We start from the raw sequence: 26,051 nt of genomic DNA on the forward strand, positions 1-26,051 counted from the left end.
AATCCCAGCACTTTGGGAGGCTGAGGCAGGTGGATCACTTGAGGTCAGGAGTTCGAGACCAGCCTGGCCAACATGGTGAAACCCCGTTTCTACTAAAAATACAAAAATTAGCCAGGTGTGGTGGTGCACACCTGTAATCCCAGCTACTCGGGAGGCTGAGGCAGGAGAATTGCTTGAACCCGGGTGGTGGGGGTTCCAGTGAGCTGAGACTGTGCCAAACAGTCCGTGGGCGGCCAGAGTCCTGGAGTGCAGTGACCAGGCTGTTGTCTAGCATAAAGGCGGAGCCCAGAAGAAGGGGCGTGGGGTGGAAGAAACCTCCCTCACTCCCCCCGCAATGCGGCATCCGCTGGTCCTGCTGCTGCTCCTCTCTGCCCTGGTGACCTCCTTCACTGCAGCCTCTATCCACGATGCTCATGCCCAAGAGAGCTCCTTGGGTCTTACAGGCCTCCAGAGCCTACTCCAAGGCTTCAGCCGACTTTTCCTGAAAGATGACCTGCTTCGGGGCATAGACAGCTTCTTCTCTGCCCCCATGGACTTCCGGGGCCTCCCTAGGAACTACCAACAAGAGGAGAACGAGGAGCACCAGCTGAGGAACAACACCCTCTCCAGCCACCTCCATATTGACAAGGTGACCGACAATAAGACAGGAGAGGTGCTGATCTCCGAGAAGGTGGTGGCATCCATCCAGCCGGCGGAGGGGAGCTTCGAGGGTAACTGGAAGGTACCCAGGATGGAGTAGGCGGCGGCCCTGGTGTCCATCCGGAAGGCTATGGACAACTTCCATGCAGAGCTCCATCCCCGGGTGGCCTTCTGGATCATGAAGCTGCCACGGTGGAGGTCCCACCACAATGTCCTGGAGGGCGGCCGCTGGCTCAGTGAGAAGCGACACCGCCTGCAGGCCATCCAGGATGGGCTCCACGAGGGGACCCGCGAGGACGTCCTAAAAGAGGGGACCCAGGGCTCCTCCCACTCCGGGCTGTCCTCCGAAAGACCCACTTACTGTACATCTTCAGGCTTTCCTGGCAGCTATAGGGGTTGGGACCGGGGAGCACCTGTCTGTAGCCCCCATCAGGCCCCGCCCCAAGCAGCATATGGAAATAAAGTTCTTTTCTTACATCTAAAAAAATTTTTAAAATTAAAAAATTGCCCAAACAGTTTATGCCTCACTGCCTGATTAGAAAGACAGAAATGTATTTTATTACCTGCGTTTTATATAATTAAGTAGTATCTCCTTTAGACAGTGGGGGGGGAAAAGTATAGAAGCTTTTTAGTTTTACATAATCCCATTTGTCTATTTTTGCTTTTGTTGCTTATACTTTGAGGTCGTATCAAAAAATCATTTCCTTACCAAGGTCATGAAGTTTTTCCCCTATGATTTCTTCTGATTGTTTTAGCTTCAGGTCTCATATTTAAGTTTTTAATCCATTTTGAGTTGATTTTGAATATGGTGTGAGATGAGGGTCTACTTTCATTCTTCTGTATGTGCATGTCCACTTCTCCCAACAACAGACTTCCTTTACTTATTGTGTGCTCTTTGTATCTTTATCAAAAATAAATTAACCTTAAATGTGTAAGTTTCTTTCTGGGCTCTTAATTCTGTGCTATTGTTCTATGTGTCTATTTTTATGCCAGTATCATGCTATTATGATTATTACAGCTTTGTAATATATTTTGAAGTCTGGTAGTATATGCCTCTGGCTTTGATCTTTTTGCTCAAGTCTGCTTTGGCTATTCAGGTTTTCTTGACCCTGAATATTTAATTGTTTTTTTCTATTTAAATTGTTTTTTCTATTTCTGGGAAAAACATCACTGGAATTTTGATAGGGATTGCATTGAATCTGTAGATCACTTTGGATAGTATAAAAATTTTAACAATATTAAATCTTCCAATTCATAAACACAGATATCTTTTCATTTATTTGTGTCTTCTTCAATTTATTTTATCAATGTTTTATAGTTTTTAGTGTACAAATCTTTCACCTCCTTGATTAAACTTATTCTTAAGAATTTTATTTTTTGTACCTATTGTGAATGGGGTAGTTTTTTTCTGCAAAGTTTGTTGTTAAGGTGTAGAAACACTACGGATTTGTGTATGTTGATTTTGTATCCTGCCACTTTAATAAATTTGTTTATTACTTGTAATTTTTGTGTGTAGTCTTTAGAGTTTTCTGTATATAAGATCATATCATATGCAAACAGTGACCATTTTACTTCTTTCTTTCTGCTTTGGATGCTTCTTATCTCCTTTTCTAGCCTAACTGCTCTGGCTAGGACTTTCAGGACTATAGTGGATAGAAGTGGCAAGAACGGGCATTCTTGTTTTGTTCTCGATCTTAGAGGAAAAGTATTCAACTTTTCACCATTCAGTATGACGTAAGCTGTGGTTTATCATATAAAGCCTTTATTGTGTTGAGGTACATTCCTTCTACACCTAGTTTGTTGACAGTTTTTAATCAGAAAGGATGATTAATTTTATCAAATGCTTTCTCTGCCTCTATTAAGATGATCTTATGGTTTGTGTTCTGCACATTTTTAATGTGGCATATCACATTTATTGATTTGCACATATTAAGCCACTCTTGCATTCTTGGAAAAAAATCTCATTTGGTCATGGTAAATAATACTTTTAATGTGCTGCTGAATTCATATTTCTAGTATTTTGTTGAGGATGTTTGCATCAATGTTCATAAGAAATATTGACCTGTAGTTTTCTTTTTCTGCAATGTTCTACCATTTCTTTAAATAAGAAGATTACCCCTTTGATGCTTTCTTCCCCTTATTGATATTCTATAGCTTCAATATTTGTTCTTTTGATGTTGTCCTATAAATCCCATTAGCTTTCTTCATTCCTTTCTTATTCTTTTTTCATTTTTCTCCTCTGCCTATATATTTTGATATAATCTGTCTTTGACTCCACAGATTCTTTTTTCTCTTTGATCAATTTTCCTGTTGATGCTCTCTGTTGCATTTGTTCATTGCATATATTTCTAGTTGATTTTTTAAGTAATTTCTATTTGATTTTTAAAATAATTTCAATTTCTCTGTTAAATTTCTAATTTTGGTCATTTAATGGTTTTCTGATACCACCCAAATGTTTCTCTTTATTTTCTTAAAGTTCACTGAGCTTCCCTAAAACAATAATTTATAAATAATTATAAATTCTTTGTGAGGCATTTTGTATATCTGCAGTTATTTGGGGTCAGCTATTGGAAGATTACTGTGTTGTTTTTTGTTTTTTGTTTTGTTTTTTTTTTGGTGGCGTTATGTATATCTCCTTGGTTTTTCATGTTTCCTGATGTTCCTTATGTTAATGTCTATATACAAGACATTCTAAGCATGGTGTCTGGCATGGTCCGTGAATGGGCTTGCATTGAATTCCTCAGGCAAGCTGGGTTGGTGTCTGGGTCAGCGTATCAAAGGGCCTGGCACATGGACCCACAGGGTTGGGCCTGGAGCCTGGATCCAGTGGGATAGACTTGTTGATTGCGTTCATGGAGGTGGGCCTGGAGCCTGGGTCCCCAAGGCTGAGACTGGAGTCTGTATCCATGGGGCTGGCCTGAAGCCTAAGTCCGAGGGGGTTGATCTAGTACTGGGGTGGGCCTTGAGCCTGGGTCTGCAGGAGCCAGCCACTTTCTGTGATGGGCCAGTCACATGGGTCCACTGGGATGGGCGTGGGGCCTGAGTTCAGTAGGGTTGGCCTGCTGTGGTTTCAATGATGGTGTCCCCTCCAAGATTTATGTTAAAACTTAACACCCAATGCTATAGGATTAAGGGGTGCCACCTTTGAGAGATTATTAAGTCATGAGGGTGGAGCCCTCATGAATGGGATTAGCAACCTTATAAAGGTGTTTGTGACTGAAGAGAATTCTCTCTTGCCCTTTGGTTTCTTCTGGCATGTGAGGGTACAGTATTTCTCCCCTGCAGAGGACATAGCACTGAGGGATCATCTTGAAAGCAGACAGCAGCCCTCTCTAGACCCCAAATTAGCCAATGCCTTGATCTTGAATTTCCCAGCCTCCAGACCATGATAAATAAATTTCTTTTGTATATAAATTACCCAGTCTGCAGTATTTTATCTTAGCAGCACAAACTAAGATAGGGTCTGGGTCCTAGATCTACAGGGGTGAACTTGCAGCCTCAGTCCACAGGGGCCAGCCTGCTACTGAGGTCTACTGGGCAGACCCGAACTAGACCTTGGGTCTGCTGGAGTGTGGGCCACAGAGGCTAGTTAGGAGTATGTGTGGGGCCACAGAGACAGGCCTGTCACTCGGCAGGCCTGAGGACAGTGTCCATGTTTACTGGTCTGGTGCCTGAGGCCAGGGTTTCCAGTCCAGCACCAGGATGGGCCCAAAGCCTGGGAGTGTGTGGGCCAATCTTGCTCAGGGTTGGTCTGAAACCTGGGACAGTCCTGGAGTCTGGGGCTGCAGGAGCTGACCTGTCACTGGGTAGGCCTTGAGCCTGTATCCACAGGGACCGATCTGATGAGTAGGGCTGCTGGGGCTAGCCTGGTGCTGGGGCAATTATGAAGCCTGGGGCAGTGGGGGCCAGCCCAGTGTTATGGGAAGTACAGAGTCTGGTCTGCTGGGGTCATCCTGGTACTGGGGTGACCAAGTCCACTGGGCATTCTTGGAGTCTGGGACTGCAAGCACCAACCTGGAGCTTCAGTCTATGGGAGCTGTCCAGTCACTGAGGCAGGTCTGATGCTCAGGGTCATTAAGTTAGCCCAGCACTGGGGTTGGCCTGGAGCTTGCACTGCTGGGGTCAGCCTAGTAGTGGGAAGGCCTGGAGACCAAGTCTGCAGGGGCTGTGGGATTCCATGTGGTGCTGGGAAAGAACTGGAGGCTTAGTCTACAGGTACCGGCCAGGAGTCCGGGTCTGTAGGGGCCTGCCCTGCACTGGGTTTTATTGAGGTGGGCCTGGTGTTGGGGTTCAAGGCAAAGGCTTGTGCTTACTTTCCTCTCCTTCCCCCAAGCAGAAGATACATCTCTTCTAGGTGTTCTGCCTGGGACTGGGAGAGGGATGAGGTGGGTAATGTAAAATGATTCTTCTTACTTTCTTCAATGCATATTTTCTTATTTCTGGGCTGCCCAGGTGCTGTAGTCTCTCACCTGGTTTCCTTGGCTCCTTTAAAGCTATTTTTGTATGTGAATAATTGTTCAAATTGATGTTTCCACAGTGGGATGAGCACTGCAATGTTCTGTTTTACCATCTTGTTGATGTCAGTCCCAAAAACATATTCATAAGCAACCAGTGGTCAAAGAAGAAACCACAAAGATGGCTGGGTGCGGTGGCTCACACCTGTAATCCCAGCACTTTGGGAGGCCGAGGTGGGCAGATCACGAGGTGAGGAGATCGAGACCATCCTGGCTAACACGGTGAAACCCCGTCTCTACTAAAAATACAAAAAATTAGCCGAGTGCAGTGGCGGGCACCTGTAGTCCCAGCTACTCGGGAGGCTGAGTCAGGAGAATGGCGTGAACCCGGGAGGCGGAGCTTGCAGTGAGCCGAGATCGCGCCACTGCACTCCAGCCTGGGGGACAGAGCGAGACTCCATCTCAAAAAAAAAAAAAGAAAAAAGAAAAGAAACCACAAAGAACATTGGAAAATATCTTGAGACAAATTAAAATGAAAACACAGCACACCAAAATTTATATGATTCATCAAAGCAATACTAAGAGGCAAACTTATTGTATAAAGTTTTACATTAAGAAAATGAAAGATCTCAAATCAATAACCTAACTTTATACCTTAAAGATTAAAAGTACACAAACTAAACCCAAGTCTAATGGAAGGAAGAAAATAATAAATATTAGAATAAAGATAAGCATAGAAAACAGGAAAATGACAGATAAGACCAATAAAACAAAGAGTTGGTGTTTCAAAACTTTAAGACTCCTGCTACAAGATGGCCAACCGGATGCAGCCAGGAGGAACATATCCCACCGAGGTACCAGGACATCGGGAAGACTGGTGCACTCCTAGCAGCTCTGCAGGCGGAAGGCATTAAAGCAGACAGAGGAAAGACGCAGATGCTAGGCTGAATGGAAAGGGAGCTGAGAACCCTGCACGGGGCTACTGCACTTCTGAACTCGTTCCTGGCCCCCAACAAATCCTGTGGAAGGGGTGAGTTAAACAGGCAAGGAGCCTCTCGCCACAGGCCTCTGGAATCCCAGCAGGAGACCCCTCAACCACCACAGACACTTGTGCTGGCAAGGAGAGCTGCTTAGAGAAGTGGTAGAGGCAGAACTTCAGCCGGTGTGGAGCCCAGAGGGTTTGGTGCAGGAGTATCTGTAATGGAGCATGACAAGGGACACCCATCCTCCTAGGCTCGACTTGCTCCCATATGAGACTTTAGCCCTAGGGGAACTTTTGGACCTAAACACTGTAGGGCATTCTTGCCCATGAGATGGGACCTGTTTGACCTGAGCAACTCTCAGTCTGCTGGCCTCTCCCAGGGCCCCAACCTGGCCATGATTGAAAACACATTTTAAAAAATCCAAAATATCAATGAACCCAGGAGTTGGTTTTTTGAAAAAATTCATAAGATAGGCCATTATCTAGACTAACAAAGAAGAGAGACGATCCAAATAAACACAATTGGAAACAACAAAGAGAATATTACCATTGACCCCACAGAAATACAACTGTCAGAGGCTACTATGACCTTGTTTATACACACAAACTAGAAAGTCTAGGTTGAGAATCTAGAAGAAATGGATAAATTCCTGGACACACACACCCTCCCAAGATTGAATCAGGAAGAAATTGAATCCCCAAACAGACCAATAATGAACTCCGAAATTGAATCAGTAGTAAATAGCCTTCCAACCAAAAAAAAGCCCATGATTAGACAGATTCACAGCAGAATTCTACCAGGTATATAAAGAAGAGCTGGTACCATTCCTACTGAAAGTATTACAAAAAAAAATTGAGGAGAAGGGACTCCTCTTCAACTTATACTATGAGGCCAGCATCATCCTGATACTAAAAGCTAGCAGAGATACAATAAAAAAATAAAACTTCAGGCCAATATCCTTGATGAATATTGATGCAAAAATCCTCAACAAAATACTGGCAAGCCAAATCCAGCAGCACATCAAAAAGCTTACACACCATGGTCAAATAAGCTTTATCCCTGGGATGCAAGCTTGGTTCAACATATGCAAATTAATAAACATGATTCATCACATAAACAGAACCAAAAACAAAAACCACATGATCATCTCAATAGGTGGTGATGATCAAAGCAGAAAAGGCTTTTGATAAAATTTAACATCCCTTCATTTTAAAAACTGAAAAAAATAGGTACAGAGGAACATACCTCAAAATAAGAGCTATCTATGACAAACCTACAGCCAACATCACACTGAATGGGCAAAAGCTGGAAACATTTACCTTGAAAAAGGAAAGGACAAGTATGCTCTCTGTCACTACTGCTATTCAACATATTACTGGAAGTCCTATCCAGAGGAATTGAACCAGAGAAAAAAATAAAGGGCATCCAAATAGGAAGAGAGGAAGTCAAACTATTCCTGTTTGCAGATAACATGATTCTGTATCTAGAAAACCCCCTAGTCTCGGCCCAAAAGATTCTTAAGCTGATACACAACTTCAGCAGAGTTTCAAGATACAAAATCAACATACAAAAATCACTAACATTCTTATATACTAACAACAGCCAGGTGGAAGCCACATCAGGAACACAATTCCATTTACAATTGCCACAAAAAGAATAAAATACCTAAGAATACAGCTAACCATGGAGGTGAAAGATCTCTACAATGAGAATTACAAAACACTGTTACTCAAAGAAACCAGAGAGGACACAAACAAATGGAAAGCATTTCATGCTCATAGATAGAAAGAATCAATATCATTAAAATGGCCATTCTTGCCCAAAGCAATTTACAGATTCAATGCTATTCCTATCAAGCTACCAATGACATTCTTCACAGAATTAGAAAAACATACTATTTTAAAATTCATGTGGAACAAAAAGCCCCAATAGCCAAAGCAATCCTAAGCAAAAAGAACAAAACAAGAGGCATCATGCTACTCAAATTCAAATTATTCCACAGGGCTACAGTAACCAAAACATCATGGTACTAGTACAAAAACGGATACATAGACCAATGCAACAGAACAGAGAGGCCAGAAATAAGGCCACACACCTACAACCATCTGATCTTCGACAAAGCTGACAAAAACAAGCAATGGGGAAAGGACTCCCTATTCAATAAATGGTACTAAGATAATTAGCTAGCCATATGCCGAAGATTGAAACTGGACCCTTTCCTTATACCATATGCAAAAATCAACTCAAGATGGATTATAGACTTAAATGTAAAACCCCAAACTATAAAAACCCTGGATGACAACCTAGGCAATACCATTCTGGACATAAGAATCAGCAAAGATTTCATGAAGAAGATGCCAAAAGCAATTGCAACAAAAGCAAAAATTGACAAATGGATCTAATTAAACTAAAGCGCTTCTACACAGCAAAAGAAACTATCAACAGAGTAAACAGACAACTTACTGACATGTTTTGGATCTGTGTCGCCATCCAAATCTCATGTTCAATTTTAATCCCCAATGTTGGAGGTGGTGCCTGATGGCAGATGATAGGATCATGGGGGTGGATCCTTCAAGATGGTTTTGCACCATCCCCTTGATGTTCTCATGAGCTCTGGTTGTTTAAAAGTGTGTGGCACCTTTCCCCACTTGTTCTCTCTCTCTTGCTCCTGCTCCCATCATGTGAGATGCCTTGCTCCCCCTTTGCCTTCCACCATGATTGAAAGCTTCCTGAGGCCTCCCCAGAAGCAGAAGCCTCAATGCTTCTTGTACAGCTTATGGAACCATGAGCCAATTTAAATTCTTTTCCTTTAAAGTACCCAGTCTCAGTTATTTCTTTATAGCAATGTGAGAACAGATTAATATACCTACAGAATAGGAGAAAAATTTTGCAAACTACGCACCTGACGCAAGTCTAATATCCAGCATCTATAAGGAATGTAAACAAATTTTCAAGAAAAAAACTACCCCATTAAAAAGTGGGCAAAGGACATGAACAGCACTTTTCAAAAGAAGACACACATGTTGCCAATAAGCACATGAAAAAAAGCTCAATATCACTAATCATTAGAGAAATGTACATCAAAACCACAATGAGATACCATCTCACACCAGTCAGAATGGCTGTTACTAAAAAGTCAAAAAATAACAGATGTGCAGAGAAAATAGAATAGTTATATACTATTGGAGGGAGTGTAAATTAGTTCAACCATTGTGGAAAGTGGTGTGGTTATTTCTCAAAGAGCTAAAAAAATAACTACCATTCAACCCAGCAATCCCACTGCTGGGTATACACCCAAAGGGATATAAATCATTCTATCATAAAGACACAGGAACGTGTATGCTTATTGCAGAACTATTCACAATGGCCAAGCTATGGAATCAACCTAACTGCCCATCAGTGGTACACTGGATAAAGAAAATGTGAATATTATGCAGCCATAAAGAAGAATTATATCATGTCCTTTGCAGGAACATGGTGCTGGAGGCCATTATTCTTAGCAAACCAACGCAGGAACAGCAAACCAAATACTGCATGTTCTCACTTACAAGTGGGAGCCAAATGATGAGAACACACAGACACAAAGAAAGGAACAACAAACACTGGGGCCTATCTGAGGGTGGAGGGCAGGAGGAGGGAAAGAAGCAGAAAAAATAACTGGGCTTAGTACCTAGGTGATGAAATAATCTGTATGACACACCCCTGTAACAGGAGTTTACCTATATAACAAACCTGCACAAGTACCCCTGAACCTAAAATGAACGTTTTAAAAACATTTATAAAGAAGTTCAATAAAATCAAAAAATCTTATGTAGACTAAAAGGAAAAAATAAGAATGCTCAAATAACTAAAATTAGAAATGAATAAGGGGATATTACTACCACTTTTATAGAAGTGAAAAGGATTATAAGAGACTACTATATGAACAATTGTATGCCAACAGATCGGATAACCTAGATAAAATTGATAAATTCCTAGAAACCCCTAACCTGCCAAGACTGAATTAGGAAGAAATAGAAAATCTGAACAGACCTTTAATAAGTAAAGAGATTGAATCAGATATCAAAAACCTACCAAAAACAACAACAAAAGTCTAGGATCAACTTACTTCACTGGTGAGTTCTACCAAACATTTAAAGAATTAACGTTAATCCTCCTCGAACTCTTCCAAAAACCTGAAGAGGAGGAAGTGCTTCCAAACTTATTTTACAAGGCCAACATTGCACTTACACCAAAGACAGACACAGACACAGACACTACAAGAAAATAAAACTATAAACCACTATCACTGACATATATTGATGCAAAAATCCATTTTAAAAACTGGCAAACAGAATTAAAGAGCAATTTAAAATGATTATACATCATGATCAAATGGGATTTTTTTCCTTAAATACAAGAATTGTTCAACATTTGAAAATCAATCAGTATAATATACCACATTAAGGGGAAATAGAATTATGGGGAAAAAACACATGATTATCTAAATTGCAGATAAGCCATTTGAAAATTCAACAACCTTTTATGATAAAAGCATCCAATAAACTAGGAATGAAAGGAATTTGCCTCAACATAATAAAAGTAATATATAAAAGTTCCACAGATAATATCATACTCAATGATGAAAATCTGAAAGCTTTTTCTCTAAGATCAGGAACAAGATAAGCATCCTCACTTTCACCACTTCTAGTCTACTATGTTCTATTCCAACATAGTACTAGAAGTCCTGACCATAGCAATTTGGCAAGAAAAATAAATAGAAGGCATCCAAACTGGAAAGAAGAAGTAGAATTATCTCTATTCACAGGCAACATGATCTTTTTCTTTTCTTTTCTTTTCTTTTTTTTTTTACTTTAAGTTCCGGGATACATGTGCATGTGCAGAACATGCAGGTTTCTTACATAAGTATGTATATGCGTGTCATGGTGGTTTGCTGCACCTACCAACCAGTCACCTAGATTTTAAGCCTGGCATGCATTAGCTATTTGTCCTGATGCTCTCCTTCTTTTCTCCCCGCTCCAAAAGGCCCCACTGTGTGTTGTTCCCCTCCCTGTGTCCATGTGTTCTCATTGTTCAGGTCCCACTTATAAGTGAGAACTTGCAGTGTTTGGTTTTCTGTTTCTATTTTTGTTTGTTTGTTTTTTCCTCTTTTATTAAGTCCGCTATACTAACTAGAAGGAGAAGCTGTGGTTTTCACCTGACAGGCCACAGGGCCAATCACCACAGCTTCTTGTAGAGAACATGGAGAGTGCCAAGATCACCATCAGGTGCCGCTTCCTTCCTGTGGCTTTCCGTCTTCCAGTCGGCCTGGTCTTTTGCCTTGAAGGGCCCCAAAACATCAGCCCTGGCTGTCATCTTCATCCCAATTGCTGAGAAGATGGGCAGACAAGAACACGGAGGGTGTCACAGAGAGGTTCCCATCAGGTTCACAGGGCGCCCGCTGTACCTCTTGGAGATGTCAGCTTCAATCAGCTTCTGCAGCTCCTTGGTCTTCTCCAGCAGCAGGTCCAGCTTAGGCTCCAGAGCCTCCTGCTCCTCAAGTGCCTCCTGCTGCTTCTGCACCATCAGCTCTTTCTTCAAAGCCAGCAGCTGGGACTGCTTCAGGTTTTGCTGGAGGAATTCAGTCACTCGGTCCACATACCTTGGTGAGGCCAGGTTCATAAACAGGTGTTGCAGTTGAAGACTGGTAAGTTTGCCAATCAGATCTTCCAACACTGACACCATGATAACCATCTTCTCTTTGGTCTGGCCCTGCAGGATGACTGGAGCCAGCTGGAACTGGCTCACAGACAGGACATCTGCCTTCTCACTCAACTCCACTGCTCTCTGGGCTAAGAAGATCTCAAGTTCCATGAGCTCATCAAGGAACTGATTCTGGGTCTCAGTGTATTCAAGAAGTGTCAGAGCATCTGGGCCCCTGGCAACACCTTCTGGAGCCTGGATTCCTGCTTCCACCACTGTGATCTGCAAAGCAACAGCATCGTCTCCCTAGTCTATCCCATCATCTCCAAGGTCCTTTGAGTCTGATTCCGGGAAGATGCCCCAGTCGATTCCAGCAGCCTCGGCAGAGATGCCAGCGTCAGTCCCCCCAGACACTGCCTCTACCCCAAAGTCGCCCCAGTCAATCGCGTCTTCTGCCACCTGCTCAGGAAGCTCCTCGAGGTGGGGTCGCTCCACGACAGAGGGCTCTGTCCCTGTCCTCCACTCGTACACCGTTGAGTTTCCCCGCTTCTGCACGAACCACAGCATTGGCAACACCTGCTCTGTGGGGCTATCACACACAAACCCCACAGAGGCCTGGTACACTTCGATGGCTTCCCCCAGGGACTGCTGCGCCGCTGCCCCAGTCTCAGCCAGCTGACTTGGCAGGTCCTTCACCAGGGCCAGCAGTTCTCCTCGGGTATTTTCGCCCATGATGCCATACTGCTTGCAGGAGTGGTAGAACTGCTCCCCCATCTCAGCAGCCCCTGCCTGGCACTCCTCCTCCTTGCAGCTGTATTCTTGCTGCAGCTGCTGGCACTTGGCAATCTGCTTCTTCAGTGAGGGGATCTCATAGTTGACATTCCAAACCAGGAGGCTAGAGAGTTCCACTAAGTAGGTGTTGTCCTTCTCATACAGGGCTATAATCTCCTGCCATTCCTTCATCCACTGTGAAGAGTATCAGCCAAAAATATTTTTCGTGGAGGCCTCTGTGCCTTTGAAAAGGTCCAGGATTCTTAGGCAGTGAAAGTAGTGAATGTAGGATCCAGACAGCAGCTGGGCGATCTCTTCGCTCTCTGGCATGTCCTGGATGGCAGCACTGATCTTCTCTCAGATCGTCAGCACCAGACTCTGCCATTTCAGGCTGCAGTACCTTCTGTCCACAAGCCAATCGAGCAGCTTGCTGGTCTGGATGTCGATGGGCATGTGCTGATGGTCCTCCATCTTTCCTCCACTTCCACTTCAGGCCAGAGATCTAGTTTTCTATTTCTGTGTTAGTTTGCTGAGGATGATGGCTTCCAGCTTCATCCATGTCCCTGCAAAGGATGTGATCTCATTCCTTTTTATGGCTGCATAGTATTCCATGGTGTACATGTACCACATTTTCTTTAGTCTGTCATTGATGGGCATTTGGATTGGTTCCATGTCTTGGCAACATGATCTTATTTGTAAATATTCCACACTAAAATAAATGCTAGAACTAATAAACAAATTCAACCAAGTTGCAGATATAAAATCAACATACATGACTCATAACACATATTCTATCCTGTCGGTCACATTGCTTACCTTTCTAATACAATTTCTTGGAGAGGCTGGTATCTTCTTGAATAATGGACACAAGAAGTTTCCAGTGCCTTCAATATAAAACCTACACTCTCTAGCCTGTATTTCAGCTTAGGCTACTACAATCCATCCATCCCCTCATTCCACACCAGTTTATCATTTCATACTCTGTACCAGGCTAGGAACACAGAGGTCTCCAATGCCTACCACACTGATAAAAATGAGTCCAAAGAACCTGTAAACTGTACCACTCTTGATTGTGATTTTCTTTATAAGGAATGTCCGTCCTTTCTCCTTTAAGCATGGATGAAGCAGGAAGATAGAAAAGGAAAGAAGTGAAGTAAATGACATTTGCATGCTGTGGTACATTCAAACTACCACAGAAATACAGAGAAAGTACTCAACTGCTGCTACATCAGACACCTTGCTGGTCAACCAGAGGAAGGGGGATGAAAATGGCACTCATTCATCCATGCTTCAGCATCATAGTATCACTGTCTTTTTTACCTCAATCTTTTTTTACCTCAAAACCCTCATCATGATGTCTCTCCTGGCACCATCCTACTTACAGTAGGATGAGAATATCTGCAGGGGGTTTCCCCAGGGTGGCATCCACACTTTTCTGGATAACACTAGATCTGGAGAATTTTCCTCTCACCCAAACATACCAGATGGAACACTTCCTGTTTTTAGTCACCAGAGAGAGGAGTAGGAACATATACAATAAGAATAAGGGAGAAATAATGCATTTTCTTCAGTCTCTCCACATGTGGAGTAGCCCAAGACAGCCTTGGGAGGAAGCCTTCTATAGTGGCACCCAAAAGTTTCATAAAAGACCTTTGCTACTCTTCTCTCTTGAACAGCTTCCATGGCTTCATATTGTCCTGAATCATTGTGCATTGTATCTCCCATGTCAAATTAATGTCACCTTTGAAATCTCTCCCTCTTCAGACCAGAAGACAGAGGAGACCTGCTTTCACATCCCAGCATGTACTTTAACAATGATTTTGTGTCTCAACTCTCTGAAACTAGCTTTTCTATCTCAGAAATGGACTTAGAGGAGTTTCAGATATGGGCATCAGATATCAAGTGTGTATAGAGAAGGAAGTTTTAGAGGCAAGAACATACTAAAATAATTTGAGGAAATTATTTTAAATTCTCACACTAAATCTTCTTCTCTAGAAATTCAGTAGGCCTGGATAGGGGCCCAGGGAATGGTATCTTGCATGAGTGTCCCCCTCACCACTATCATAAGCCCCCGCTTGATATTAATTCCTCAACTATTCCCAATCATGACCTTCTAACTCTCACATTTATGTATCACCCAGACTGTCTTCCCTCACAATATAGTCCATGGCTTAACATCATAAATCAAGTAACACCTACAACCACCATCAATAACTTATGCATGTACTTTTTTAATAGTTCCATCCAGAGCTCTTAAAAATATATCTAAGTACACCTGATACATTTATCTTCTGCCAACTGGGAACCCCAAATTGTGTTCTCCTCAAACTTCAAAGATCTTTCCGTCTCATTTATATCTGCTTATGGCATACTATATTTATTTAGTCATAAATCATTTATATATTAATTTATTTAATAGACATTTACAAATAAAGTAAATAAAACACTCAGCTTAACAGGGATACAGAGACTTATATGAAAATGTAAGTAGATAAATCTCATATGTGTATGCTTGAGATGGTAAAAGAAAAGAATGAGTGACTTTCTTATTAGAAGAGATTGTTCAAAATAGTTCCTGGCCCTGAATTATTCCAGCTGGACACATGTTAAAAATCATTAAGGAAGGAGAACTTTTTATAACCCTTGAAACATAAAGTTCTGTCTTCATTTTATTGTAAATTCATTTGCAGTGATGATTACTATTCCTATGTTTTACTGAATATGGGAACAAGGATACCTCAAGAAAAAAGGTAAAAGGAAAAGGGTTTTGGAGGATGGAGTGTAAGAGAAAAAGTGAGGAGAGTAAAAGGAAGGGATTATGGAGCAGTAGAAGTAGAAGCAAGGGGAGGAAGAAGGCAAAAGGCTAGACATCATAACTGAACTCACTCCCAAGAAAGGAGAAATAACTTTGGTTGGTTGTCCATATGTCTGTATGTCTAGTTAATGTTCCTCCTATGTTTCTTATTTCCTTTTTGTAGAGAGTGTGTTTGTGTGTGTGTGTGTGTGTGTGTGCATCTGGAAACATTCTAGCCCCCTGATTTCATTTACCTGCACTGCCTTCTCCTACATTTAGGGCTGTTTATGGTCAATGAAAGTCACACTCAAGGGAGTTTTTGAAGAATGTGAAAGGACACACTAGATATATTTTATTCAAGGCTAATTAGTTGCCATTCCATAAGACCCTTGCTGTGGTGCACTCAGGTGTTTTATTAAACTCTAGCCAGCCCTCATCCCAGACTAACCCAAATTCTGCTCATAACAACCCAACATTCATTCTTTTTGCACCAAACATCTGACAAAACCAAATGCCAATCCCAGTTCTACCTCCATGTTATGCCCACTCAAGCCCCAATCCCAAGACAAACACAACACTAGTCAAGCCATCCAACACCAACACCCAGCTTCAACCCAACAACCAGCTCATCCACAAATGTCCTCTACTCCAATTCTCAGTTTCACCCAATTTCACTGCTGGATACATTCATCCACAAATACAATTCTTAACCCAGCCTATCCCAAACCACTGCCCCAGCCTAATTTTATAAATATGATCCTCACTTCCATCTCATCATTGTTTATTGTTTCTATCATTACACCAACACAAAGGTCCCATCCTTTTTGTACTACAATTCACTACCCAATCTCCAAATAGCCCCTTGATTCATCCTATAAATGTTCAACTTGAACTCAATTTCTCACACCTAACCTGTATCCAAATCTTTCATCTCAATGACATTGCTAACCCTAAATTGTTCTATGCCAATCCTCTCTACCACTCTACCAACCAAAAGCATCACATTCTTAATTTGATCTTAGAAGTACAAAGCCAGTAAGAGATCCTGACATGATACAAACCTGAGGGTAAAATCCCTAAGCTGCCTGACACCACATCATCAAAACTGCAATACACATGCAGGACCCCAGAACCTTTGAGAGACAGAACAAAATCAGAAAACTTCATGGCAATATCTTTGATGAACATAGATGCAAAAATCCTCAACAAAATGCTGGCAAACTGAATCCAGCAGCATATCAAAAAGCTTATCTGCCATAACCAAGTAGACTTCATCCCTGGATGCAAGCCTGGTTCAGTATATGCAAGTAAATAAATGTGATTCACCACATAAAAAGAATGAAAAACAAAAACCACATGATTGTCTCAATAGATACAGAAAAGACTTTCAATAAAATTCAACACCCTTTCATGTTAAAAACTCTCAATGAACTAGGCACTGGAGGCACATACTTCAGAATAATAAGAGCCATCTATGACAACCCCACGGCCAACATTATACTGAATGGGCAAAAGATGGAAGCATTCACCTTGAAATCTAGAACAAGACTAGGATACCCTCTCTCACTTCTATTCAACATAGTACTGGAAGTGCTAGCCAGAACAATCAGGTGAGAGAAAGAAAAAAAAAGGATCTAAATAGAAACAGAAGAAGTCAAACTATCCCTGTTTGCAGACAATATTATTCTATACCTAGAAAATCCCATAGTCATTGCCCGAAAGCTCCATGATATAATACACAACTTCAGCAAAGTTTCAGGATACAAAATCAATGTACAAAAATAGGTAGCATTCCTATATACCAACAACATCCAACTGAGAACCAAGTCAAGAGTGCAATCTCATTCACAATAGCCACAAAAAGAACAAAATACCTAGGAATACAGCTAGCCAGGGAGGTAAAAGATCTCTACAATCAGAATGACAAAACATTCAAAGAATGTTCATCTCTGCTCAAAGAAATCAGAGATAACACAAACAAAAGGAGAAACATTTCATGCTCATGGATATGAAAAATCAATATTGTCAAAATGGCCATGCTACCTAAAGCAATTTGCAGATTCAGTGCTATTCCTATCAAACTACCATTGACATTCTTCATAGAATTAGAAAAAAGTATATTGAAATTCATGTGGAAAACTATTTTGAAATTCCTGTGAAAAAAGAGCCTGAATAGCAAGGGCAATCCTAAGCAAAAAGAGCAAAGCTGGATGCATCACATAACCCGAATTCAAACTGTACTACAAGGCTACAGTAACAAAAACAAGACACATAGACCAATGGAACAGAATATAGAGCCCAGAAATAAAGCTGCACACCTACAACCATCTGATCTTTGACAAAGTATACAAAAACAAGCAATGGGGAAAAGACTCCCTATTCAATAAATGGTGCTGGTATGACTGACTAGACATATGCAGAAGATTGAAACTGGACCCCTTTCTTACATCATATTAAAAAAATCAAATCAAGATGGATTAAAGACTTAAATGTAAAACTTAAAATTATAAAAACCCTGGACGATAACCTAGGAAATATCATTCTGGACATAGACTCTGGCAAAGATTTCATGATAAAGACACCAAAAGCAATTGCAACACAAAGTAATAAATGGGAACCAACTAAACTAAATAGCTTCTGCACAGCAAAAAGAATCTATCAACAGAGTAAACAGACACCCTACAGAATGGCGGAAAATATTTGTAAACTATGCATTTGACAAAGGTCTAACATCCAGAATCTATAAAGACTTAAAAAAAATTAACAAGCAAAAAACAACCCCATTAAAAACTGGGCAAAGGCATGAACAGACACTTCACAAAAGAAGGCACATATGTGACCAACAAACGTATGAAAAAATGCCCAACACCACTAATTGTTACAGAAATGTAAATCAAAACCACAACGAGATATCATCTCACACCCGTCAGAATGGCTATTATTAAAAAGTCAAAAAATAACAGATGCCGGCAAGGTTGAGCAGAAAAGGAAACACTTATGCACTGCTGGTGGGAATGTAAATTAGTTCAACCATTGTGGAAAGCAGTGTGGTTATTTCTCAAACAGCCTAAAACAGAATTACCATTTGACCAAGCAATCCCATTACCGAGTATTTGCCCCAAGGAATATAAATTATTCTACGATAAAGCCACATCCACATGTATGTTCATTGAAGCACTATTCACAATAGCACAGGCATGGAATCAACCTAAATGCCCATCAATGGTAGACTGGATAAAGAAAATGTGGTATATATACACCATGGAATACTATGCAGCCATAAAAAGAATGAAATCATGTCCTTTGCAGCAGCATGGATGGAGCTGGAGGCCATTATCTTACGTGAACCAATGCAAGAACAGAAAATCAAATACCCTATGTTCTCACTTATAAGTGGGAGCTAAACATAGAGTATGTATGAACACAAAGAAGGGAACAACAGACACTGGGGCCTACTTGAGGGCGGAGGGTGGGAGGAGGATGAGGATTGCAAAACTACCTATCAGATACTAGGCTTAATACCTGGGTAATGAAACAATCTGTACACCAAACTCCCATGACACGAAACTCACCTAGATGACAAATCTGCACATGTACCCCTGAACCTAAAATAAAAGTTAAATAAATAACTAAATAATAAAACAAATGTTTGGTAGAATTCCATGGTAAAGCCATCAGGTCCTGGGATTTTCTTTGATGCAACACATTTTATTACTGATTCAATCTCCTTACTCATTGCTATGGTTTGAATATTTGTCCCTTCTAACACTCATGTTGAAACTTAATCCCCAATGTGACAGCATTGAGAGATGGAGTCTTAAGAAAGGATTGGGGAGGAAGGTGAAGCAAGATGGCAGAAAAGAAGGCTTCACCAATCATCCCGCCCTGCAAGGACACCAATTTAACAACTATCTACACACACACATACACACACTCAGACACAAACCATCTTCAATAGAAACAAAAATGAGGTGAGCCCTCAGAATTTTATATCACTGAAAGATGCACCAAAGAGGCAGAAAAAAGTCTTGAATCACAGATGTCACCCCTCCCCCATCCTCTGGGAGCAGCAGCATGGTACAGAGAGCATTTTTGTGTGCTGGGGGAGGGAGGGCACAGCAATTGTAAGGCATTGAACTCAATGCTTTCCTGTTAGAGCAGAAAGAAAAACCAGACCAAACTCAGCTGGTGCCCCCTCCCTCCCATATACACACACAGTGGGAGCAGTTAAATCAGCCCTAGCTAGAGGGGAGTTGCCCATCCCAGAACTTGAATTCTTGCAAACCTTGCCACTGAGGGCTAAAGTGCTCTGGATGTCTAAGTAAACTTGAAAAGCACTGTAGGCCAGAGAACTGCAACTCTTAGGCAAGTCCTAATGCTGAACTCAGCCCAGAGACAGTAGACTAGGGGTGCACACAACTGACTGAGACTCCAGCCGGGACCGCTAAGAGAGTGCTGGTATCACCTCTCCTCTAACCCCAAGCTGCACAGCTTGTGGCTCTGAAAGAGACACATTCTTTCTCCTTGAGGAGAGATGAGGGAAAAGTGGGGAGAACTTTGTCTTGCATCTTGGATATCAGCTCAGCCACAGCAGGATAGGGTGCCAGTGAGAGCCGTGAGGCCCCTTTTTCTGGCCCTAGCTCCAGGATGACATTTCTTGACACACCCTGGGCCACAAGGGAACCCACTGCTTTGAAGGAAAAAACCCAGTCCTGGAACGATTCACTGCCTGCTAACTGAAGAGCCCTTGGGTGCTGAATAACCAGCAGAGATACCCAAGTACTATGTTGAGGGCCTTGGGTGGGCCTCTGAGACTTGCTGGCTTCAGGTACCAGCTCAGCCACAGGTGAGTAGAATACCAAGCACTCTAGATTCTAGAACTTGGCTCTTGGATGGCAATTCTGGATCTGCCCTGGGCCAAAGGGGAGCCCACTGCCCTGAAGGGTGATTCCCAGGCCAAGCAGCATTCACCACAAGCTGACTTAAGAGCTCTTTGGCCATAAAGGAACATTGGCAGTAGTCTGGCACTACTCTCCATGTCCTATGGTGGTGATGGCTATGGGGTGAGGCTCCTCTGCCTTTGGAAAGGGGATGGAAAAGTGGGAAGAACTGCATCTTGTGGTTTGAGTGCTGGCTCACCTGCAGTACAACAGAACACCAGGTAGACTTCTAAGGCTTTTTACTCTAATCTCTGACTCCTGAATGACACCTATGGACCCACTCAGGGTCTGAGGATACTTGCCATCCTGAATGGAAGGACATAGGCCTGGTTTGCTTTGCCACCTCCTGATTATAGAGTCCCACGGCCTTGAGAGAACATAGGGAGTTACTACCAGGGAGTGGTTACAGCAGGCCTTGGGTGAGACCCAATTCTGTGCTGGCTTCAAGTCTGACCCAGCACAGCCAGAGTGGTGGTGGCCACAGAGGTGCTCATCTTCCTCCCCCCGACACCCCCACAACTTTAAATGGCTCAGAACAAAGACATTCCATTTGTTTGGGAGAAAGTAAAGAAAGAGAAAAGAGTATCTTCCTGGTAATCCAGAGAATTCTTCCAAATCTTGTCTAAGACTATCAAGGCAGTACCTTTATGAGGTTGAAAGAACCACAGTGTTACTGGGCTTGGAGTGCACCCTAAAACAGATAGAGCTTAGATCACAATACCCAAGTCATTTCAAATATTTGGAAAGCCTTCCCAAGAAAGACGAGTACAAACAAGCCCAGACAGTGAAGACTACAATAAATACCTAACTTCTCTGCCCAGACACCAAAGAACTCTATAAGCATCAACACCATCTAGGAAAACATGACCTCACCAAATGAACTAAATAAGGCATCACAGACCAATCATAGAGAAACAGAGATATGTGACCTTTCAGACAGAGAATTCAAAATAGCTGTTTTGAGGCAACTCTAAGAAATTCAAGATAACACAGAGAAGAAATTCAGAATTCTACCAGATAAATTTAATAAAGAGAATAAAATAATTTAAAATAAGTAGAAACTCTAGAGCTGAAAAATACAATTGGCAGACTGAAGAACACATCAGCATTTTTAAACAGCAGAATTGATCAAGCAGAAGAAAGAATTAGTGAGCTTGAAGACAGACTATTTGAAAATACACAGTCAGAGGAGACAAAAAAATGAAAAAGAATAAAGCATGCCTATAAGCTCTAGAAAATAGCTTCAAAAGGGCAAATTTAAGAGTTGTCTTAAAGAGGAGGTAGAGAAAGAGAGATAGGGGTAGAGAGTTTATTAAAAGGGAAAATAACAGAGAACTTCCCAAACCCAGAGGAAGATATCAATGTGCAAGTACAAGATGGTTATAGAACACTAAGTAGATTTACCCCAAAGAAGACTACCTCAAGGCATATAATAATAAAACTTCCATAGATCAAGGCTAAAGAAAACATTCTAAAACCAATAAGAGAAAATAAACAAATAACACACAATGGAGCTCCAATATGTCTGGCAGCAGACTTTTCAGTAGAAACCTTATAGGCTTATGCCAGGAGAGAGTGGCATAACATATTTAAAGCACTGAAGGAGTCCAGGCATGGTGGTTCATGCCTGTAATCCCAGCACTTTGGGAGGCCAAAGCAGGAAAATTACTCGAGCTCAGGAGTTCAAGACCAGCCTGCAGAACATAGTGAGATCTCATCTCTATTAAAATAAATAAATAAACAAAATTAGCCAGGTGTGGTGGCACGTGCTTGTAGTCTCAGCTGTTCAGATGGCTGAGGTGCGAGGATCACTTAGGCCCAGCAGATCAAGGCTGCAGTGATCTGCGATTATGCTACTACACTCCAGCCTGGGCAATAGAGCAAGACCTTGTCTCAAAAAAATTAAATTAAATTAAAAAGTACTGAAGGAAGAAAACTTATCCTAGAATAGTATATCTGGTAAATATATATATTTGAATATATATATACACATATATATATTTGAATATATATATACACATATATATTTGAATATATATACACATATATATATTTGAATATATATACACATATATATATTTGAATATATATATACACATATATATATTTAAATACATATATACACATATATATATTTGAATATATATATACACATATATATTTGAATATATATATACACATATATATATTTGAATATATATTTGATATATATCCTTCAAACACAAAGATAGATCTTCCAGAGAGAAAATCAACAAAGAAACATTAGACTTAATATCCACTATAGACCAAATGAATCTAAACAATATTTGCAGAGTTTTCATCCAACAGCTGCAGAATACACATTCTTTTCCTCAGCACGTGAATCATTCTCAAGAATAGATCACATGTTAGGTCACAAAACAAGCCTTAAAACATTCAAAACATTGAAATAATATCAAGCATCTTCTCTGGCCTCAAGATGAATTTTGTAAACTATACAAATACATGGAAGTTAAACAATATACTCCTGAATGACCAGTGGGACACTGAAGAGATTAAGGAAATTGAAAAATTTCTTGAAACAAATGGTAACAGAAACACAACATATGAAAACCCATGGGATACAGCAAAAGCAGTACTAAGAAGTTTATAGCTATAAGGGTCAATGTCAGAAAAAGAGGAAAAACTTCAAATAAACAATCTAATGATGCATCTTAAAGAATAAGAAAAGCAAAAGCAAACCAAACCCAAAAATAGTATAAGAAAAGAAAGAATAAATATCAGACTAGAAATAAATGGAATTGAAATGAAGAGAACAATACAAAAGATCAATGAAACAAAAAGTTGTTTTTTTGAAAAGTTAAACAAAAGTGACAAACCTTTAGCCATACTAAATAAGAAAAAAAGATAGAAGATCCAAACAAATAAAATCAAAAATGAAAAAGGAGACATTACAACTCATGCTACAGAAATTCAAAGAATCATTAATGGCTGCTATGAGCAAGTTTATGTCAATAAATTGGAAAACCTAGAAGACATGGATGAATTCCTAGACACATGCGACACACCAAGATTGAACCAGGAAGAAATCCAAACCTGAAGAGACCAATAAGAAATGAGACTGAGGCTGTACTAAAAAGGCTCCAAGTATAGAAAACCCCAGGACCAGATGCCTTCACTGCTGAATGCTACCAAACATTTAAAGAATTAATACCAGTCCTACTCAAACTATTCTGAAAAATAGAGGAGGAGAGAATACTTCTAAACTCATCCATGAGGTCTGAAAAATAGAGGAGGAGACAATACTTCTAAACTCATCCATGAAGCCAGTATTATCCTGATACCAAAACCAGACAAAGACACATCAAAAAAAAAAAAAACCAAAAACTACAGGCCAATATCTCTGATGAATATTGATGCAAAAGTCCTCAAAAAACTACAACAAATTAATCAATGTGATACATTACATCAACAGAATGAGGACCAAAAACATATGATCATTTCGATTGATGCTGGAAAAGCATTTGATAAAATTCAACATCCCCTCATGATAAAAACCCTCAAAAAGCTGGATATAGAAGGAACATACCTCAACACAATAAAAGCCATATATGATAGACAAACAGCTAGTATAATACTGAATGGGGGAAAACTGAAAGCCTTTCCTCTAAGATCTGGAGCATGACAAGGATTCCCACTTTCACCACTGTTAGTCAACACAGTACTGGAAGTCCTAGCTAGAGCAGTCAGACAAGAGAATGAAATAAAGGGCATCCAAATTGGGGTGGAAGAAGTCAAATTACCCTTGTTTGCAGATAATATGATTTTATATTTGAAGAAACCTAAAGACACCACCAAAAACTTTTACAGCTGATAAATTCAGTAAAGTCTCAGGGTAGAAAATCAACATACAAAAATCTGTAGTATTTCTATATGCCAACAGTAAACAGTGTGAAAAAGAAATCAAAAAAGTGATCCCATGTACAATAGCCACACATAAAATTAAATACCTAGGAATTAACTTAACCAAAGAAGTGAAATATCTCCATAATGAAAACTATAAAACACTGAAGAGAGAAATTGAAAAGGACACCAAAAAATGGAAAGATATTCCATGTTCATGGTTTGGAAGAATCAATATTGTTAAAATGTCCATCCTACCCAAAGCAATCTACAGATTCAATGCATTCCCTATCAAAATACCAAGGACATTCTTCACAGAAATAGAAAAAAACCATTCTAAAATTTACATAGAACCACAAAAGACCCAGAATAGCGAAAGCTATCCTAAGCAAAAAGAACAAAACTGGAGGAACCACATTACCTGACTTCAAATTATACTACAGTGCTATAGTAACCAAAACAGCATGGTATTGGTAAAAAAAAAAAAAAAAAAAAAAAAAAACAGACATATAGACCTATGGAATAGAATAGAGAACACAGAAACAAACCAGACACCTTCAACGAACTCATTTTCAACAAATGTGCCAAAAACATACACTGGGGAAAAGACAGTCTTTTCAATAAATAGTGCTCAGAAACTGGATATCCATACTCAGAAGAATGAAGCTAGACCCCATCTCTCACCATATACAAAAATAAAATTGAAATAGATCAAAGACTTAAATCTAAGACCTCAAACTATGGAACGACTACAAAAAAATACTGGAAAAATTCTTCAGGACCTCAGTCTGGTCAAAAATGTATTGAGCAATATTCCACAGGCACAGGCAACCAAAGCAAAATGTACAAATGGGGTCACATCAAGTTAAAAAGCTTCTGCACAGGAAAGGAAATAATCAACAAAGTAAAAAAACAACCCACAGAATGGAAGAAAATATTTGCAAATTACCCATCTAACAAGAGATTAATAAGCAGAATATATAAGGACCTCAAACATCTTTATAGAAAAAAAATCTAATAATCCAATCAAAGATGGACAAGAGAGTTGAATAGACATCCCTCAAAAGAAGATATATAAAAGACAAACAGGCATGTGAAAAGGTGCTCAACATCATTGATCATCAGAGAAATACAAATCAAAACTACAACGAGATATCATGTCACCCCAGTTAAAATGGCTTTTATCTAAAAGACAGGCAATAATGAATGCTGACAAAGGTGTAGAGAAAAAGGAGCCCTCATACACTGTTGGTGGGAATTTAAGTTAGTATGACCACTGTGGAGAACAGTTTGGAGGCTCCTCAAAACACTAAAAATAGAGGTATTATAGGATCCAGCAATCCCACTGCTGGGTACATCCCCAAAAGAAAGGAAATCAGTACATTGAAGAGGTATCTGCACTACCATGTTTGTTGCAGCACTGTTCACAACAGCTAAGATTTGAAAGCAACCTAAGTATCCATCAACAGATGAATGGATAAGGAAAATATGGTACATATACTCAAAGGAATACTATTCAGTCATTAAAAAGAATAAGATGCTGTCATTTGCAACAATGTGGATGGAACTGGAATTCATTATGTTAAGTGAAATAAGCCAGCACAGAAAGACAAATATCACATGTTCTCACTGATTTGTGGTATCTAAAACTCAAAACAATTGAATTTCTGGACATAGAGAGTAAAATGATGGTTACCAGAGGCTGGGAAGGGCAGTGGGGATGTAGGGGTAAGTGGGAATGGTTAATGGGTACAAAAAAAAAAAGAATTAATAAAACCTACTATTTGATAGCACAACAGAGTAACTATAGTTAATAATAACCTAACTGTACGTTTTAAAACAACTAAAAGAATGTAATTGGATTGTAAATGCCTGAGGGGATGGATACCCCAATCTCCATGATATG

At 40.5% G+C, this 26,051-nt stretch overlaps 2 pseudogenes; one reads left to right on the top strand and one right to left on the bottom strand.

The window, feature by feature from the left end:
* On the top strand, positions 218-1,121 carry DKKL1P1 (DKKL1 pseudogene 1; annotated as a pseudogene).
* On the bottom strand, positions 11,214-13,030 carry CDK5RAP3P1 (CDK5RAP3 pseudogene 1; annotated as a pseudogene).

The sequence above is a fragment of the Homo sapiens genome, chromosome 20, assembly GCF_000001405.40.
Source record: "Homo sapiens chromosome 20, GRCh38.p14 Primary Assembly".
NCBI classification, from domain to species: Eukaryota; Metazoa; Chordata; class Mammalia; order Primates; family Hominidae; genus Homo; species Homo sapiens.